This window comes from Homo sapiens, chromosome 10 (assembly GCF_000001405.40).
Source record: "Homo sapiens chromosome 10, GRCh38.p14 Primary Assembly".
NCBI lineage: Eukaryota > Metazoa > Chordata > Mammalia > Primates > Hominidae > Homo > Homo sapiens.
In genome coordinates this window covers 68,592,148-68,611,511 of record NC_000010.11, presented here as the reverse complement: position 1 = coordinate 68,611,511, position 19,364 = coordinate 68,592,148, and the positions used below count along the sequence as shown (strand labels likewise).

The 19,364-nt window shown below is 42.7% G+C and overlaps 1 protein-coding gene across 18 annotated transcripts in view, besides 5 other annotated features; it reads right to left on the bottom strand.

Moving 5' to 3' along the window:
- The window catches only part of TET1 (tet methylcytosine dioxygenase 1), a 134,151-nt gene that overhangs the window by 82,976 nt on the left and 31,811 nt on the right, over positions 1 to 19,364 (bottom strand). For 8 of the 18 annotated variants that reach the window (XR_001747211.2, XR_001747212.2, XR_001747210.2 and 5 more), the window contains exon 3: positions 10,478 to 10,531. Coding sequence is in view for 8 of the 18 variants with exons in the window: in NM_001406365.1 (NP_001393294.1) it covers positions 10,478 to 10,531 (54 nt within the window). In the remaining 10 variants the exon portion in view is untranslated. Of the gene's footprint in view, positions 1 to 8,227; positions 8,278 to 10,477; positions 10,532 to 10,632; positions 11,039 to 11,061; positions 11,245 to 19,364 lie in introns of those variants that run through there. The other 10 variants (NM_001406370.1, NM_001406372.1, NM_001406369.1 and 7 more) reach the window with 5 other exon arrangements.
- Positions 1,757 to 2,436: an enhancer, noted in NCBI's record as "H3K27ac hESC enhancer chr10:70368833-70369512 (GRCh37/hg19 assembly coordinates)". NCBI's record gives its function as "activates a minimal SCP1, AML or CMV promoter by ChIP-STARR-seq in naive and primed H9 embryonic stem cells {active_cell/tissue: H9 hESC(naive and primed)}" and the evidence as "EXISTENCE:reporter gene assay evidence [ECO:0000049][PMID:30033119]".
- Positions 10,799 to 10,888: an enhancer, noted in NCBI's record as "active region_3467". NCBI's record gives its function as "activates an Ori minimal core promoter by ATAC-STARR-seq in GM12878 lymphoblastoid cells {active_cell/tissue: GM12878}" and the evidence as "EXISTENCE:reporter gene assay evidence [ECO:0000049][PMID:35858748]".
- Positions 10,999 to 11,298: an enhancer, noted in NCBI's record as "active region_3466". NCBI's record gives its function as "activates an Ori minimal core promoter by ATAC-STARR-seq in GM12878 lymphoblastoid cells {active_cell/tissue: GM12878}" and the evidence as "EXISTENCE:reporter gene assay evidence [ECO:0000049][PMID:35858748]".
- Positions 11,319 to 11,368: an enhancer, noted in NCBI's record as "active region_3465". NCBI's record gives its function as "activates an Ori minimal core promoter by ATAC-STARR-seq in GM12878 lymphoblastoid cells {active_cell/tissue: GM12878}" and the evidence as "EXISTENCE:reporter gene assay evidence [ECO:0000049][PMID:35858748]".
- Positions 12,071 to 12,636: an enhancer, noted in NCBI's record as "H3K27ac-H3K4me1 hESC enhancer chr10:70358633-70359198 (GRCh37/hg19 assembly coordinates)". NCBI's record gives its function as "activates a minimal SCP1, AML or CMV promoter by ChIP-STARR-seq in primed H9 embryonic stem cells {active_cell/tissue: H9 hESC(primed)}" and the evidence as "EXISTENCE:reporter gene assay evidence [ECO:0000049][PMID:30033119]".

Here is a 19,364-nt window from a genome sequence, read left to right as displayed (position 1 = left end):
CCCAACCCACTTATTTTTTTCTTGAAGAGATGGAGTCTTGCTATGTTGCCCAGGCTGGAGTGCGGTGGCTTCACAGGAGCTCTCATAGCATACCACGGTCTTGAGCTCCATAGTTCAAGCAATCCTCTTGCTTTAGCCTTCTGAGTAGCTAGGACTACATGAGTGTGCTACTGCACCTGACTGAAATCCACATTTTTTGGAAAGGTCACTTTTTTTTTTTTGAGAAGGAGTCTCGCTCTGTTGCCCAGGCTACAGTGCAGTGGCACAATCTCAGCTCACTGCAACCTCCGCCTCCTGAGGTCAAGCAATTTTCCTACCTCAGCCTCCCGAGTAGCTGGGATTACAGGTGCCCGCCACCATGTCTGGCTAATTTTTGTGTTTAGTAGAGACGGGGTTTCACCATGCTGGCCAGGCCTGTCTCGAACTCCTGACCTTGTGACCCACCACCTTCGGCCTCCCAAAGTGCTGGGATTACAGGCATGAGCCACTGCGCCCAGCCTAGTTCACTTCATATTCTTATGAACATAAATTACACCTTTACTTGTAATTATAATCACTATTAAAAAATTACTAGCTGGGCAAGGTAGCTCATGCCTGTAGTGCTAGTACTTTGGGTTTGCTTGAGCCCAGGAGTTTGAGACCAGCCTGGGTAACATGGCAAAACCTCATCTCTACAAAAAATATAAAAATTAGGCGGGATTGGTGGTGCACACCTATGGTCCCAGCTATTTGGGAGGCTGAAGTAAAAGATCAATTGATCCAGGAGGTCAAGGCTGCAGTGAGCCATGATCACACCACTACACTCTAGCCTGGGTGACCGAGGAAGACCTTGTCAAAAAAAAGTAAAAACAAAAAAACCACAGTATGCCAAGCGGTTCTAAACATTTAACATATTTTTTATTTTTGTGTTTTTTTATCTTTTGAGAAGGAATCTCCCTCTGTCACCCAGGGTGGAGTGCAGTGGGCGATCTCAACTCACTGCAACCTCCGCCCCCTGGGTTCAAGCAATTCTCCCACCTCAGCTTCCCGAGTAGCTGGGACTGCAGGCAACCACCACCATGCCTGGCTAATTTTTGTTATTTCCTTTTTTTTAGTAGAGATGGGGTTTCACCATGTTGGCCAGGCTGGTTGAGCTCCTGACCTCAAGTGATCCACCGCCTCGGCCTCACAAAGTACTGGGATTACAGGCATAAGTCACCATGCCTGGCCTTTTTGTTTGTTTGTTTTTTGAGACAGAGTCTCGCACTGTCACCCAGGCTGGAGTGCAGTGGCGCAATATCAGCTCACTGCAAGCTCCATCTCCCGGGTTCACATCATTCTCTTGCATCAGCCTCCCAAGTAGCTGGGACTACAGGCGCCCGCCACCACGCCTGGCTAATTTTTTGTATTTTTAGTAGAGATGGGGTATCACTGTGTTAGCCAGGATGATCTTGATCTCCTGACCTCGTGATCCTCCTGTCTCGGCCTCCCACAGTGCTGTGATTATAAGGGTGAGCCACCGTGCCCTGCCTTATTTTTTATAAATATATAGAGATGTAGTTTTCTCATGTTGCCCAGGCTGGTCTCAAACTTCTGAGCTCAGGCAACCCACTAGCCTTAGCCTCCCAAAGTGCTGGGATTACAGGTATGAGCCACTGTGCCCTGCCTAACATATTTTAAATAATTCACCCAACTCCCAGATAATCCTATGATATGGTGTATATGTATATAAAATATTTAAAAATAAATAAATGAAATATTTTAAAATGCTCTCACACGCTATATATATATAAAATAACCAAACTCCTAGAATAAGTTTATTATTTAATATCTGATTTCCTAGAATTATGAAAATAATCTATGCTTTAATCAAATTCATGTGACATCACTGAATTTTACACATAGATGACAAAAACTTCAGAAGTACAGAAAAGGAGTTACTATTTAAAACTGTGGGATAACACTTGAGGAGGCTAAGGCAGGATGATTGCTTAAGCCCAGAAGTTCAAGATCACCCTGGGCAACACAGGGAAACCTGGTCTCTGCAAAAAATTTTAAAAATAGTCAGGCTTGGCCGGGGGCAGTGGCTCATGCCTGTAATCCCAGCACTTTGGGAGGCCGAGGAGGGTGGATCACCTGAGGTCAGGAGTTCGAGACCAGCCTGACCAACATGGAGAAACCCCATCTCTACTAAAAATACAAAATTAGCCAGGCGTGGTGGCACATGCCTGTAATCCCAACCACTAGGGAGGGTGAGGCAGGAGAATCACTTGAACCTGGGAGGTGGAGGTTGCAGTGAGCCAAGATCACGCCATTGCACTCCAGCCTGGGCAACAAGAGCGAAACTCCATCTCAAAAAAAAATAAAATTAGTCAGGCTTGGTGGCACACACTTGTCAACCTAGGTACTCAGGAGACTGAGGTGGGAAGATCACGTGAGCCCAGTAGGTTTTGGCTGCAGTGAGCAGAGCCACTGCACTCCAGCCTAGGTGACAAAGTGAGACCCTGTCATAAAAACATATAAACAAACAAACAAAACTATGGGCCAGGAAAGGTTGCTCATGCCTGTAATTCCAACACTTTTGGAGGCCAAGGCAGGAAGATCGCTTGAATCCAGGAGGTTGAGACCACCCTGGGCAACATTTGAGACCCCTCTTTTGTATTAAAAAAAATTTTTTTTTAATTAAAAAATAAATATGGCTGGGCATGTTGGCTCATGCCTGTAATCCCAACACATTGGGAGGCTGAGGTAGGCGGATCACCTGAGGTCAGGAGTTGGCGGCCAGCCTGGCCAACATGGTGAAACCCTGTCTCTACTAAAACTACAAAAAATTAGCTGGGCTTGGTGGCACACACTTTTAGTCCCAGCTACTCAGGAGGCTGAGGTAGGAGAATCACTTGAACCCCGGAGGTGGAGGTTGCAGTGAGCCAAGATCACACCACTGCACTCCTGCCTGGGTGACAAACCAAGACTCCATCTCAAAAATAAATAAATAATAGGCCTGGCGCGGTGGCTCACGCCTATAATCCCAGCACTTAGGGAGGCCAAGGCGGGTAGATCACGAGGTCAGGAGTACGAGACCAGCCTGGCTAAGATGGTGAAACCCCATCTCTACTGAAAATAAAGAAAATTAGCCAGGCATGGTGGCGGACGCCTGTAATCCCAGTTACTCGGGAGGTTGAGGTAGGAGAATCGCTTGAACCTGGGAGACGGAGGTTGCAGTGAGCTGAGATCATGCCACTGCACTCCAGCCTGGGCTACAGAGTGAGACTCCGTCTCAATAAATAAATAAATAGGACATTGTCGGCTGGGCACGGTGGCTCATGCCTATAATCCCAGCACTTTGGGAGGCCAAGGAGGGTGGATCATGAGGTCAAGAGATTGAGACCATCCTGGCCAACATGATGAAACCCCAGTCTCTACTAAAAATACAAAAATTAGCTGGGTGCGGTGGTATGCACCTGTAGTCCCAGCTACTCCGGAGGCTGAGGCAGGAGAACTGCTTGAACCCGGGAGATGGAGGCTGCAGTGAGCCGAGATTGCACCACTGTGCTCCAGCCTGGTGACAGAGCAAGACTCTGTCCAAAAAAAAAAAAGACACTGTTACCTCTGTTACCCACGTTCTCTTGCATAGGCCATTTTGGTTGGCAAACCTTACCATCAAATCTTTGAAAATGAAATATATATTTATATTTATATATATAAACATATTTATATATTCTATATATAGAGAGAATATATATATTCATATATATATATGAATGACATTGCAAGACATTCCATTATTAAAAATATTTCACTTAAAAATGAATTAAGAAGGCCAGGTGCAGTGGTGCAGGCCTGCACTTTGGGAGCCTGAGGAGAATGGATTGCTTTGAGCTCAGAGTTCTAGACCAGCCTGGCAAAACCTTGTCTCTACAAAAAATACAAAAATTATCTGGGCATGGTGGTGTGTGCCTGTGATCCCAGCTATTTGGGAGGCTGAGGCTACAGAATCTCTTGAACCCCGGAGGCAAAGGTTGCAACGAACCAAGATTGTGCCACTCCACACCAGCCTGGGCAACAGAGTGAGACCTGTCTCAAGAACAAATAAACAAACAAACAAAAAAAACAAAAAAAAAAAACTTAAGATCCAAACAAAACTTAAATAAAGTTATTAGTTGGCTCTTTTCATCTGACTCATGAGAATATATTCTAGTCAGTAAATGGAGAGCTATACAGTAAAGAAAGTACAACTCAGAAACAGTATGAATCCGGCACTATCAAAACACAAACACGTACCAGATGAGCCTAAGTATTCAGGATACAAGGCATATGTTCTTTTGTGGACTAGGAAGAATTCAAGTCTTTTTTTTTTTTTTAATAGCCTGAATGAAATTTTCCTTAAACCCGTCCAACTCCATTTGGCTTTTATTCACTTTGATTCTCTGTTTGGGATCATTCCTAGAAATCACAGAATGGACATGAGTCTTGAGTCACTGGAAATATACATGCTGCAGTGATAAACGAATGCCTGTATATGAGCTGGTTTAGTGAGAACTCAGCCCTGAAATCCAGTCTGATCTCCAGGCAAAATGCTGTATTACAGTTTCTGGGTATACAAACGAAGCCCATGTGTGTCTTTGATTGTGTGAATAAACACTGATGGGTGAGCACACGTCCTTAACAGTTTTTGCCAGTTTATGACAAAATGAGTTCAATAAAGACAATGTGTTGTCATAAAACTAAATTATTAAATTTCTATGACCTTCCTGTGTTCTGATATTATCTTCTTTCCATTTTTAAAAATTAAAGCTGGTATTCCCTTGTGAATATTTTCAACACCCACTCTGATTTTTTTCCTCACTGGCCCATTAAATCCAGAAGTCTGGGATTAGTTGCCTGGGACTATAAGGACCTATCAAAATGACATGTGTTTTTTTTTTTGTTTTTGTTTTTCCCCTGAAGGATGGTCAAGCTTAGTATTTGATCTAGTACTTAAATTTGCAACATGTTGCTACAAGTAATAGAATGTTGCATTATAACCGTCTGTTTAAAAACTCTAAAGAAATTACTTTACCAATGATTTATTTTACTAACTGAAACAAAGTTATAGACAAATAAGCAGAAGAAAATCATTAGCAACTATGTTATCTTTCATTTGTAGGGTTTTTTGTTTGTTTGTTTGAGAGGGAGTCTCCCTCTGTCGCCCAGGCTGGAGTGCAGAGGCACAATCTCGGCTGACTGCCACCTCCGCCTTCCAGGTTCAAGCGATTCTCCTGCCTCAGCCTCCCAATTAGCTGCGATTACAGGCACCTGCCACCACACCTGGCGAATATTTGTATTTTTAGTAGAGACAGGGTTTCACCATGTTGGCCAGGGTGGTCTTGAACCCCTGACCTCAAGTGATCCACTCATCCTGGCCTCTCAAAGTGCTGGGATTACAGACATGAGCCACCGAACCTGGCCTATTTATAGCTTAATAGAATTTTAAAATAAACAATGTAACTCAATTGTATCTAATTTAGTAATTTTAGCAGGGGAGGGTGGCTGTAATCCTAGCTACTCAGGAGAATGAGAAAGGAAAATAGTTTGAGCCCAGGAGTTGAAAACCAGCCTGGGCAGCACGGCAAGACCTCAGCTCAACAAACAAACAAACAACAAACAACAAACATAACCAGAGTATAATTTAGTCCTTTTAAACCAGCACTGGTCTAGTATATATAAAAATAATTTATGGGCTAGGCGTGGTTGCTCACACCTGTAATCCCAGCATTTTGGGAGGCTGCAGTGGGCAGATCACTTGAGGCCAGGAGTTTGAGACCAGACTGGCCAGCATGGCAAAACCTCGTCTCTACTAAAAATACAAAAAAATTAGCTGGGCGTGGTGGCACATGTGTGTAATCCCAGTTCTTAGTAGGCTGAGGCAGGAGAATCATTTGAACCCAGGTGGCAGAGGTTGCAGTGAGCCAAGACTGCACCACTGCACTCCAGCCTTAGTGACAGAGTGAGACTCTGTCTCAAATAAATAAGTAAATAAATTCAATAAAAACAATTTATAAATGATGGGAATGTTAAGTATCTTTCCCTAGATGATGTTTTCCTTCATCATCTCGGCAATTTTTGCTTGTTTCCTCACTGTAACCTCCGCCTCCTGGATTCAAGTGATTCTCCTACCGCAGCCTCCCGAGTAGGTGGGATTACAGGCATGCGCCACTACCCCTGGCTAATTTTGTATTTTTAGTAGAGATGGGGGTTTCTCTATGTTGGTCAGGCTGGTCTCGAACACCCAACCTCAGGTGATCTGCCCGCCTCAGCCTCCCAATGTGTTGGGATTACAGGCCTGAGCCACTCTCCTGGCCCCACTTGTTCTTTATCAGCATCATCAAGGAATGAAGGAAAAGAGAAGAGCAAGTCAGTGCTGAACCCTGCAGGAAGATCCCTTAGTTTTCATTTTGCCTTTTTAAAATCAACCTCTGGAGACACTCTCCTAGTTTAATATCCACTGACATTTCTTTATATTTGTTCACCCAGCTCTTCCAAATACTACTCTGATGATATTTTATAATTAAATAGCTAGAAAATATTCCTTACCAGCCAAAAAGACTATCTAATTACAGAATGTATAAATGCATCCCCTCAAGGATCCTCATGCTTATTGGGAAATAATTTTAGATTTACAGATGAGTTGCAAAAATAGTATAGAGTTCTTATGTACTCTTCAGCCATCTTTGCCTAATGTTACCATCTTATGTAATCACAGTTCTAGTACTATTGTTCACTCTACCATACCACCCCTGTGGTCACTAGTCATGCCCAGTATGTTGTTTTCCCTTCCAGGCCTACATTCCACCTTCCATAACCTTCTTACACATCCCAGAAGGCTGACCAGCGTGTACTACATCAGAGGTCTCCCCTTTCACTCTGGCTCCCCATTGGGATCAACCAATCAAAGCAGCAGGAGACTGGAGAGCAGGGCATTTATCCCACACCCACCCCCCACTTGACTCCTTGCAAGAGCATCTCTTTACCAAAGGCTCCAGCCCATGCTTCCTCTACTCAGCTGTAGCTACATTACCTGGTTTCCACTCACCATCCCCCTTCAGGCCTAGGATTAGTAATAGCTCTGCCTTCATTAGATCTGGATTTCTTCACCATCCTTAGTTCTTTCCTTAACCCTCCCACACTATTGAAAGTAATTCCTTTATTAAACTCTGTTCAAACCCCCAATTGACTGTGCTGTCTGATTTTCTCCAGGGACAATGACTAACAATCTAACAAAACTATTATCATCTTAAAATTGACTTTCTTAAAGGGAGTATACACTCCTACTCACCTGCTCCCACCACACACACACAAAGTAAAAGTTATTTACACAAATGTTTCTTCCAAGAGGAATTCCAAACCACGTCACTTAAAAGGCTAAGTTCGTGATTGAAGGACTGGAATTAGACCACACCTCTACCTAGATCAAGAGTCAAGGAAATGCTTGTGTTTCCAATAATAACATTGCTAACAAGATGTCATCTATATATGAAAATAACTAGTGATCACCAATAGGCTTGAATAGGAAGTTGATGCTGAGCTACCCCCACCCACCACTAGTGCACCATTAGCTGATACCCATTCTGGCCTTTAGAGTGCTTTGGCCAGAGCTGTCATTTCAGCTACAGGAAGAATCTCTAATCAGGATTTAGATCGCTATTTAGTTTTTAATTTTGAAGTACAATAGAATGAATATGGTATAAATATGGATAATAGTGTTCTTTTGGTGGTGGGAGACAAGGTCTCATTCTATTCCTGAGGCTGGAGTGCATATAGCTCATGTGATTATAGCTCACTGCAGCCTCCAACTCCTAGGCTCAAGCAATCCTCCCTCCTCAGCCTCCTGAGTAGCTAGGACTAGAAGTGCACACCGTCGCACCCAGCTAATTTTTAAATTTTTCATAGAGACAGGATTTTGCTAGGTTTTGCAGGCTGGTCTCAAACTCCTGGCCTCAAGCAATCCTCCCGCCTTGGCCTCCCAAAGTTCTGGGATTACACATATGAGTCATCATACCTGGTGGATAACAGGTATGTTTTTAAGAGGAGAGGGATATAAGACATGCCAGCCAATTTCAGCCCCACAACTGGATTCAATAGTTATCAGGTTCAGGTCAGTGTAGGATGAAACAAGTCTCAAATTCTATACCCAACTTCTTGAATCAGGTTCTTCACGTATCCAACTACTTTCTAATAGATGATGAAAATGAAAAGTCAATCAGGATACCTGCAGCATCCACCCTGACAAAGGGTAAATGATCCAGGAGATTTCAACATCTAAAAGGATAAAGTCAAAGGAAGCAGACTAAATTTCTGGAATGACACCAAATGTAAAGACAGCAAATAATGATGGAAGACCAAATCATAAACTGTGAGATTCCCATCACTGGTCCCCCAGGTAGCATGCTCCTAGAATGTTGAAGTCCTCACTCATAAAACCTCAAGCTGACAGTTGTATTCCTCTCCCACTCTCCCTCCCAAACACAGGTTTCATTTTTTTTATGTCTTCTATAGGATTATATAATATTCTACATTTGCTCTATGAATTTTATACACATCAAGCTAAAATCTGAAAGTTTTTTTTAGCATTTCTACTGTGAAGCAGAGAAACAAAGCTTTCTTTGGATGAGAAAAAAAATTATGTCTAACAGAAAATGTGGAAAACCATTTTTAAATGCCAACATCAGAAATTTTTTTTCCTTTTAGAATATTTTCCTGCTCTTGTACAGTAATTGCTAACTATAGAGGAACGTGAGCAACAATTTGGTTCTGCTTGCTGTTGCAGATGAAATGTGGCCACCCACAGGCACTTTTATTCTTTTTCTTTTAAGCCAGAGTCCACTACCGTGATTCCAAAAAGCAACACATGGCATATTTACTTTTTACATTTATTTCAGGTGACAGGACACTCACAATCTAACAAAATAAACATAGAATTAAATTGCATTCCCAAAGTCCAATTCTACTTCCTAGCCAAGGCAGGGGAAGACATAGATACTAGGCTTGGTCTGTATTAGTTTCTCCACATAATCTATCCCTTTCTCCTGCTAATCCCCATCCACAACCCCAACAAATGAGAGCCATTTTTAAGAGGAAGACTAAATCTATTTTTCACAAAATGCCTGAGATGGATATAGCCAACACAGAAAGTATAGAAGGAGCTTTTAATGATAAACTTCTATCTCTGTTGGAAGGAAAAGGAATAAATGGGGGTCGATGGATCAACACAAAGAAGAAAAACAGAAAAGGGTTTAATTTACCTTGAGAATAACCATGATTCTATTTGTCCAGGCCCAGTGAAAATTTGTGTCAAGCAATTTCATTCATTTCACAGTGCCTAGCACATTGCTGACTATGTGGTAAATATTAAATAAATACTTGTTGGTTGATGAAACAGGTACATGAAAATGCTGTATATACACAGGAAGCAGAAACTCAATGTGGTCAGGCAAATTTGAAAGCAGGGCAAGGTTTGGTTCTCCGTGTCAACATTTTCAAGTTACACACTGGGGCAACAAATGAAATAAAATTCTGCCACATTCATAGTTCAACATGTTGTTCCTCTTTGAGTGCTAAAACTTTATGTGTAAAAAAGGAAAGCTAGGATTAGGTAAAACTATTTTAAATTAAATGTACACAAAATAATTAAAGATAAGTCATTTTATTGCTTAGTATTTCTTCATGAATTTAAAAGGTGGCTTGCAAAGGTTGCTTACATTTGTAATAGCAATACACCACTTGAAATCTTAAACACATAAGCACCTATTCGTTAGACTAAAGCTAGCCTTGAACTTTTAGTGATGCCATATGCTTTTAAATTAACCCTTCTAAACACTGTACAAATCTCATCACACAGACTGTGAGCTTATAACTGAATTAGGTTACTATTAATACTCATCAGGCAAACTATAGAAAATAAAGAAAACATGCATATTCTTATGGCTTCATGAAAGCCAAAATTAAAGATGATATTATGAGAATTTGAGATTAAACAACTATAATTTGGCTGTAAGATCTCCACTACTTACACATTAAGGACTTTTTCTTTGGAAAAGAATCATACATTTTAAAATAGCCTTTAATGGACAGTCTATTAAAATCACAATGGATCATAGCTGTCAACTTCAAATAGTGCCTTTCTTCTAAAGGGCTTAAGTTTACACACTGGTGCAACACCACAAATGCAGATGCTACAAAGGGAGCTATAAAGAAAAACAAATTTTATTCACAACACTCTGCATACAAACTTTTCTTTCTGTAGACTTGAGTGGAGTTGAAAATAAAGGATGCTAATATGCACATTATGCAGCACATCAAAAAAAAGAGAGAGAAAACACTTTAGTTGAGTGGAAATTCATCCATCTACTGAAAATCTGGGAGAATTCACATATACTGTACTCCAAATATACCCAAGTGCAGAAAAATACTATATGAAATGGAAAAATAATGAAATATTATTTAATCAACAGCTGATTACCTTTAAAACTTTGGGCTTCTTTTCCCTCTGGGGCCTCTTGTTTTCCTTTATAACCTAAAAAAAATCAAATTGCAAAATGAGCCTCTGTTTAAGAAATAAAATTAGCTCCCACATCCCCAAAATTTTTGGCTATTTCTCTGTAAAACTATTTATACCATTTAAAATCATCAACATGTTTGCTAGGCAGAACCTAAAGAGCTTATGTAAAATGTATACTTTAAAAGTCACTAAAAAAATCTTGCATAAAGATGAAGCAGGGAAATACCCTTTTTTCCCCTTAAAGTCTGTCTTAATTAGCCTCTGCATTCTTCACAGCGAAGCCCACGAGGTAGCCATCTTGCTTGCTTCTGCAGAGGAAGCCTCTACAGTGGAACAGTTCTGCAAACTGCTTTTTGGTATTATTATCATGGTGTTTAAAGGCAGCCCTGGCCTGCCAGCACTGTAGACGTGCTGGGCATGCCTTTTGCAAAAACAGCCCCACAAAGAGTGCAGCCAATGGCAATGCAGAGCTTAGCAACTCCAAAGTGATCTTCTCAGCCTAGCCCTTCCTAGACAAAGGATCTCCTGTGCGGCTCGGCTCTCACCACAGGACACAGGCAGCCACAAGCTGCGACATGGAGTTCGCTGCAGAGGATCTGGTCGCGCCGAAATCACAGGAGGCTTCAACAAAAACAATGCACACAAATCCCCCAGGTCACCACCATTGGATCGATGGTAGAGCCTTCCTGATTAGTAACCTCTTGGCGGTTCCGAGGGCAGGTCTGCATGGGGGAGGGGTGCGCTGCTCTGCCTCCAATGTACAGGAGACATAACTGAGCCTAGGGGGGCATTTGGGCTTGCTGAAACTCTGGAAGGTATTGTGCATTTTTACTTTATAAGGCAAGGCTAAATATTGGCGATATTTAAGGCAGGGAGGTTATGTGAGGACAGTGTAGGCTCAGCTGTTGGGCTGCGTGTCTCATTCCTCAGGAACCACACCTCTTTGCAGCAGGCGCTTTGCCCAGAAACACAGCAATTTGATTTCTGTCAATAAATGTCCAATGACAATGGCGAATTAAAAAATAACAGTAAAGCCACTGAAAAGGAAAAGGACAGGATGAGGACAAAAAGAGAGGGAGGAGTTTTCAAAATACACTTGCCACTCTGAGTGGCTAGAGAGAAAGGATTTTCTCTCTTGCTCTGGGCATTTCTGATGACCTTCATTTCCAAATAAAATTTCTCCCCTACGAGAAGGAAAATTCGGACTCATATCTTTGGGACAAAAGGACACCTTTGGCTCTTCTGTCTCCCAAGATCAACTGTCACTGAGCATCTATATCCGCAGACCTGCCAAGCAAGTCCCCACGTGGGGCCGGTCTGCGCACCAGACTCGCGGTCAGACGGAACCACCCACTTCCCAGGGATCGGGACCTGAGCCAGGGGTAGAACAAACCACCATCTCCCGACACACACCTGGACTGCCCCCACGCCCAGTGGGTGGTAGGCAGTGGGACAGCTGGCACCACAGCTAGCACCTGCCAGACACTGGGAAAGACTGGACCGGGAGCCGTGCCCCCCACGACCCCTCTTAAGCCACCTGGCATTGCAACAGCGGCAGCAGAGCAGGGCAGCTGTGGTGAGCTGGCTGGTCTCAAGGTCACTGCCAAAATGCAGTGTAGAGGGCGGTCACAGTCCCATCACAGCCACCTTGACAGCTGCACAGATCTGGGGAAGACAGCCCTAGCTCCAGCCTTGCAGGGCCAAAGTTTCAGCAGCACATTTCGGGGATTGGCAGGAGGGCCTCCCCGGCTGCTCAGCCAAAGATGGGTTTTCCACTTGCAGCTGGATTCAGAACAGATTCCCACAACCAGAAATCAGGAACAGAGTGAGGGCCGGAAGGCCTGCATTTCATCACCCTTAATCCCTAGCCTTTCAGTTTGCCACAAAAGCATGCTTTCCGTGTTGGAACGTGAAGTCCGGCATGCGTTGTTTTTCCACTTTTAAATTACCTCTCACTCACCCACCCCTCACCCACATTTTTAACAAATTCATGTAAGAAAAAAACTATTGGCCGGGCACAGTGGCTCACGCCTGTAATCCTAACACTTTGGGAGGCCGAGGCAGGAAGATCACCTGAGGTCAGGCGTTTGAGACCAGCCTGGCCAACAGGAAACCCTGTCTCCACTAAAATACAAAAATTAGCCGGGCATGATGGTGGGTGCCTGTAATCCCACCTACTCGGGAGGCTGAGACAGGAGAATCGCTTGAACCCAGGAGACAGTAGTTGCAGTGAGCACCACCGCACTCCAGCCTAGATGGCTGAGCCAGACTCCGTCTCCAAAAAAAAAAAAAAAAGAAAGAAAAAGAAAAAAAAAACCTAATGAATATGGTGTTCTCAACTCTTCCTGCAACACTTGTAACAAAACCAATGGACTCTGAAATATGCACATCCACCAGTGCAACTTTGAGCACACTAAGCCCACACTATCTATAAGAAGCTCTCTGTGAGGAATAAAGCAGCATTGAAACTGGCAGAAAAATAATCAAATACAGTAAGATTTGAAAATAGGTACAAAATCTTTTAGCTGTACATCCCATTTTTGGTGATTTTTTTTTAAATTGTGATGAAATATATGTAACATAAAATTTATCATTTTAACTATTTTTTTGGAGATCGAGTTTCACTCTTGTCGCCTAGATGCAATGGTGCGATCTCAGCTCACTGCAACCTCCGCCTTCCGGGTTCAAATGATTCTGCTGCCTCAGTCTCCCGAGTAGCTGGGATTACAGACATGCGCCATCACGCCTGGCTAATTTTTTGTATTTTTTGGTGGAGACGAGGTTTCACCATGTTGGTCAGGCTGGTCTCGGACTCTTGACCTCAGGTGGGCCGCCCACCTTGGCCTCCCAAAGTGCTGGGATTACAGGAGTGAGCCACTGCGCCCAGCCCATTTTAACTATATTTAAGTGTATCGTTCAGTGACATTAAGTACATTCACAACTGCTATGCAACTATCACCTCTCCATTTCCAGAACTTTTTCTTCCTTGTAAACAGAAACTCCATACCCATTAAACAATAACTCCTCATTTGCCTTCCCCCAGCCCATACTGACTTCCATTCTACTTTCTGTCTATGAAATGGACTACTCTAAGTACCTCCTATAATTGGAATCATATAGTATTTTTCATATAGTATTTTTCTTTTCGTTTCTCTTTGCTTCACTTATTAATAGCATAATATTTACAAGGTTCATCCATGTTGTAGAATGTATCAGAATTTCATTCATTTTGAAGGCTGAACAATATTCCTTTGTATGTACATAACACATTTTGTTTTTCCCTTATTCTGTTGTTAGACATTTGTACTTTTTGGTGATTATGAATATTACTGCTATGAACATAGGTGTACAAGTAGGTATACAAGTAGTATACACCTTGGAGTAGAATTGCTGAATCATATGATAAGGCTATGTTTAACTTTCTGAGGAACTACCAAATTGTTTACCATAGCAGCCGCACCATTTTACATTCCCATCAGCTTTGCACAAGGGTAGTCCTACATTTCTTGAAGTGCCTTGCATTTCAGTTACACATTATGCCTCTTCTGTTGAATGTTTGAATATAACTTTAAAAAATGAACATTTTTTTCCAGGTTAATTGTTCAATATTTAGTAAAGTGGCCATGATATATTATGATAGAATTGTATAATTTAAGTCGATCAGCCGGGCGTGGTAGCTCACGCCTGTAATCCTAGCACTTTGGAAGGCTGAGGCAGGTGGATCACTTCAGGTCAGGAGTTCAAGACCAGCCTGGCCAATATGATGAAACCTCATCTCTACTAAAAATACAAAAATTAGCCAGGAGTGGTGGCATGCACCTATAGTCCCAACTACTCGGGAGACTGAGGCAGGAGGATCACTTGAACCTGGGAGGTGGAGGTTGCAGTGAGCCGAGATCGTGCCACTGCACTCCAGCCTAGGCAACAGAATGAGACTCGGTCTCAAAAAAAAAAAAAAAAAAAAATCCATTAGCTGTGTGATCATGAAAATAAAATAAAATAAAATGAAATCAGGCTCAGAGGGTTAGGTGTACAGAATATCTATATTGCTGAGAGGTCTGTTTTGTAAAGGCCCAAAGACAGGTGTTTTCACTGTATAGGATACTCATGAAGCCATACAACATTGCACTTGACAACCTAAGCAAACATCGAAGGCCTGTGTGTGCACTCTTCTGTAAAATTGGATAATAAATAAAGCCAAGGCTCATCCTAGCTATATATGAAAGTTAATGAATGTGATCAGAACTAACATTAACTCCAAATATCAAATTGATGCTTCACCACGAAGATCTATACTTGTTTGAACACAGCATAGATCAGGTGTTTCAATTCCTATACTAAGTGATTTGGTGGTCTGAGCTCTGGGCGAGTTTTGATGGGAGAGAATAGTCAGAAATTCTGAGCAGAGGCCAGGTGCAGTGGCTCACATCTGCAATCCAAGCACTTTGAGAGGCCAAGGTTGAAGGATCACTTAAGCCCAGGATTTCAAGGCTAGCCTAAGCTACATAGCGGAGACACATCTCTACAAAAAAAATTAAATATTAGCTATGAAATAATTCAGAGGCCCAAAGAAGTAAAAATATCTCAGCTTGCACAGCAGGTTAGAACTTGACTTGAGCATGTACCATAAGATGTTTATTAATATACAGAAAAAATATGAAAATATATAGAATTTGAGTTGATCCCACTTCTAACCATCTATACAGCTCTCTCTACAAATCCTCTTGATTTTCAGTATCTAACAAAAGACATTTGTAAATATCCTAAAATAACCTTAAAAGAAATGTCTTCCGCTGGGCATGGTGGCACGTGCCTGTAATCTCAAGCTACTCAGGAGCCTGAGGCAGGAGAATCGCTTGAACCCAGGAGGCGGAGTTTGTAGTGAGCTGAGATTGCGCCACTGCACTGCAGCCTGGGCAACAGGAAGAGACTGTCTCAAAAAAAAAATGTGTATATATATATATATATGTGTGTGTGTGTGTGTGTGTGTGTGTGTGTGTGTGTGTGTGTGTATATATGTGTGTGTGTGTGTGTATATATATATATATATATATATATATATATATATATATATATGTTTTGGCTGGGCGCAGTGGCTCACACCTATAATCCCAAACTTTGGGAGGCCATGGCGGGCTGATCACAAGGTTAGGAGCTCAAGACAAGCCTGACCAACATGATGAAACCCTGTCTCTACTAAATATACAAAAATTAGCCAGACCTGGTGGCGCTTGCCTGTAATCCCAGGTACCTGGGAGGCTGAGGCAAGAGAATTGCTGGAAACCGGCAGGCGGAGTTTGCAGTTAAGCTGAGATCACACCACCGCACTCCAGCCTGGGTGACATAATGAGACTACACCTCAAAAAAAAAAAAAAAAAAAAAAGAAGCTGTGTGTGTGTGTGTGTTGTGGCTTCAGGATTAAAATTATGAATAATTCCAAAACTCCACTTCTCTTTCTGGGTATATGCACCTCTGGATTGATAAGAAACTGTAAGTACAAACTACCTAGATTAAAACAACAGCAGCATACTACAAGGAATTTTCTTCCAAATTAATCTCAGGAGTAATTCACCTTTCCTCAAGACTGAAGACCGAAACACAATTTCCTTCCAATATGTCCCGCGCTCTCCTCTCCCAAGAAATTCTTTATTTTTCTTCTGATTTTGGGGGCTACAATTTTGCAGTGATAACTAAAGATATTCCAAGTACCATCTATTATAAACTTCCAATCAATAAGAATAAGTACACATGTACTATGTACCCATAAAAATTAAAAACTTTTTAAAAATTTAAGGAATAAGAAAAGAATGTCTTGTACCTTTCAGAGATTTTTTTTTTTTTTCTTGATAGGGTCTCACTCTCTTCCCCAGACTGGAGTGCAATGCTCCAATCATAGCCCACTGCAACCTCGAACTCCTGGGCTCAAGCGATCCTCCCATGTCAGTGTCCCAAATAGGCATGTGCTACCACAACAAGCTAATTTTTTTTTTCTTTTCTTCTTTTTTTTTTTTTTTTGAGATGGTGTCTTGAGCACTGTTGCCCAGGCTGGAGTGCAATGGCGAGATCTCTGCTCACTGCAACCTCCGCCTCCCGGGTTCAAGGGATTCTCCTGCCTCAGGCTCCTGAGTACCTGGGATTACAGGCACGTGCCACCACGCCCGGCTAATTTTTGTATTTTCAATAGAGTTAGGGTTTCACTATGTTGGCCAGGCTGGTCTTAAACTCCTGACCTCAAGTGGTCAGCCTACCTCAGCCTCCCAAAGTGCAGGGAGTACAGACATGAGTCACCGCGCCCGTTCTCTCTCATAGATTTAAAAAAGCTAGTTTGGTTTTATTTCCTGTGACACATAGGAACCTGAAAGGCTAACACTGGAGAATCTCCTTGGAAGACTGGGTGGAGTAATAGTCCGGATGTAAGCGGTTGGTCCACTAGAAGAGCCTTTCCTGCTGGATCTCTCCCTGACCCCTTTCCCTGAGGCTACTCTTGCTCTTCCCCCACTCTCCCAAGGGGCCAGATCTACTGGATTCCTTCCAGCAGTTCTGCTGGTAATAGCTGTTCCTTGATGGCTCTTCTAAAGCAAGAATTGAGGAAAAAGTAGGTGAATAATCTTCAACAGTTACCAACTGAGACAAACTGTTGTAAGAATGGGGCTGAAATTATTGCCTCTCTCAAATTTCTCAACTCTTCTTTGTACCAACTAGAAACTGGAAGGCCTACTCCCTGTGTCAGTGTCTAGATTCAAAATTTGGACAGAAAAATCCAATAACAGGGCTGGGCATGGTGCCTCATGCCTGTAATCCCAGCACTTTGGGAGGCCAAGGCGGGAGGATCACTTGAGGTCAGGAGTTTGAGACCAGCCTGGCCAACATGGTGGAACCCCGTCTTTACTAAAAATACAAAAATTAGCCAGGCATGGTGGCGCATGCCTGTAGTCCCAGCTAGTCAGGAGGCTGAGGCAGGAGAATCGCTTGAACCCAGTAGGCACAGGTTCCAGTGAGCTGGGATCTTGCAACTGCATTCCAGCCTGGGCAACAGAGAGAGACTCTGTCTCAAAAAAAAAAAAAAAAAAAAAAAAAAAATAGCTCAGGCGCAGTGGCTCACGCCTGTAATCCCAGCATTTTGGTAGGCCAAGGCAGGTGGATCGCCTGAGGTCAGGAGTTGGAGACCAGCCAGGCCAGCATAGTGAAACCCTGTCTCTACTAAAAATACAAAAAATTAGCTGGGCGTGGTGGCGGGTGCCTGTAATCCCAGGTACTTGGGAGGCTGAGGCAGGATAATCGCTTGAACCTGAGAGGCGGAGGTTGCAGTGAGCCGAGATCGCACCATTTGCTCTCCAGCCTGTGCAACAAGAGCGAAACTCTGTCTGAAAATAATAATAATAATACAAAAATTAGCCAGGTATGGTGGCGCATGCCTGTAGTCCCAGCTACTCAGGAGCCTGAGGCAAGAGAATCCCTTGAACCCCGGAGGCAGAGAGTGAGCCAAAATGCTGCCACTGCACTCCAGCCTGGGCAACAGAGTGAGACTCCATCATAAAAAGTGAAAAAATTAAAAATTTTTTTAAAAAAACTTTATTTTTTTCCCTTCCATTTCAGAGAACTTAAAATTATTGAAGAACCTTAAAAGAACCCAGGTCCAAAAATGTTTTCTTTAAATGTATTAATTTGTTTTTCACAATAACTTTCCCCATTTAATAACCAAAACCCCTTAAAACAATGTAATGTATGTTGATCACCTCTTTTTTTTTTTTTTTTTTTTTTTTTTGAGACAGAGTTTCACTCTCTCGCCAGGCTGGAGTGCAGTGGCGCAATCTCAGCTCACTGCGACCTTCAACTTTCGGGTTCAAGCGATTCTCCTGCCTCAGCCTCCCAAGTAGCTAGGACTACAAGTGCATGCCACCACGCCCAGGTAATTTTTTTTGTATATTTAGTAGAGATTTCACTATGTTGGCCAGGATGGTCTCGATCTCTTGACCTCGTGATCCACCTGCCTTGGCCTCTGAAAGTGCTGGGATTACAGGCATGAGCCACTGTGCCCCAGCCTTGAGCACCTCTCTCATGCAGACATAGTGCTGAGTGTATAACTGGAGGAATGTCATTGTTGCCACCCACCCGGAAACTACCATCTTCTAAGAGACACAAACAAATAAACACATATTCATGATGTAATGTAGAATGAGATGAGCCCAGGAGGTATATAGTACCCAGAGGAGGCTTCCCAGGGGAAGCAATATTTCCCACTGAAACCCAAGGGTTGGCAGGTAGGAGTTGGCAAGATATAGAGGGAGAGAAGAAAGGAGTGTGCCCCACATGGAGGTAACAGCACCCACAAAGACACTGGAGCACTAAGTTGCTGAGGTAACATTCCAGTGTGGTTGTTAAGGGGCCATGGGGAGATACAAATATCAATAAATATGCCACCACTTGGGTAGCAAGGTTACTGAGCATGCATATGAAGAGATGCCAGCCTTTACTTCTCTACCGTTCCCGTTAGAATTATTTTTGTTGTTCTTTCAATTGTCCATAATTGTTTCTTTGAAAAGCCAAGAATAACGCTCCTGTTAAGACGATTATCAAAAATATAAGTTACCTTTTCAAGGGGAGAACTAAAGAGAGGTGATTGGTTTGTCCCAGACCTGAAACTCTTGTTTTGTTTTGTTTTTTGTTTTTTCTTTTTCTTTTTGAGACAAAGTCTCTTGTCACCCAGGCTGGCATGCAGTGGCACGATCTCGGCTCACTGCAACCCCTGCCTCCTGGGTTCAAGCAATTCTCATGCCTCAGCCTCCCGAGTAGCTGGGATTACAGGCGCCCGCCACCATGCCCAGCTAATTTTTGTAAATAGTAGAGA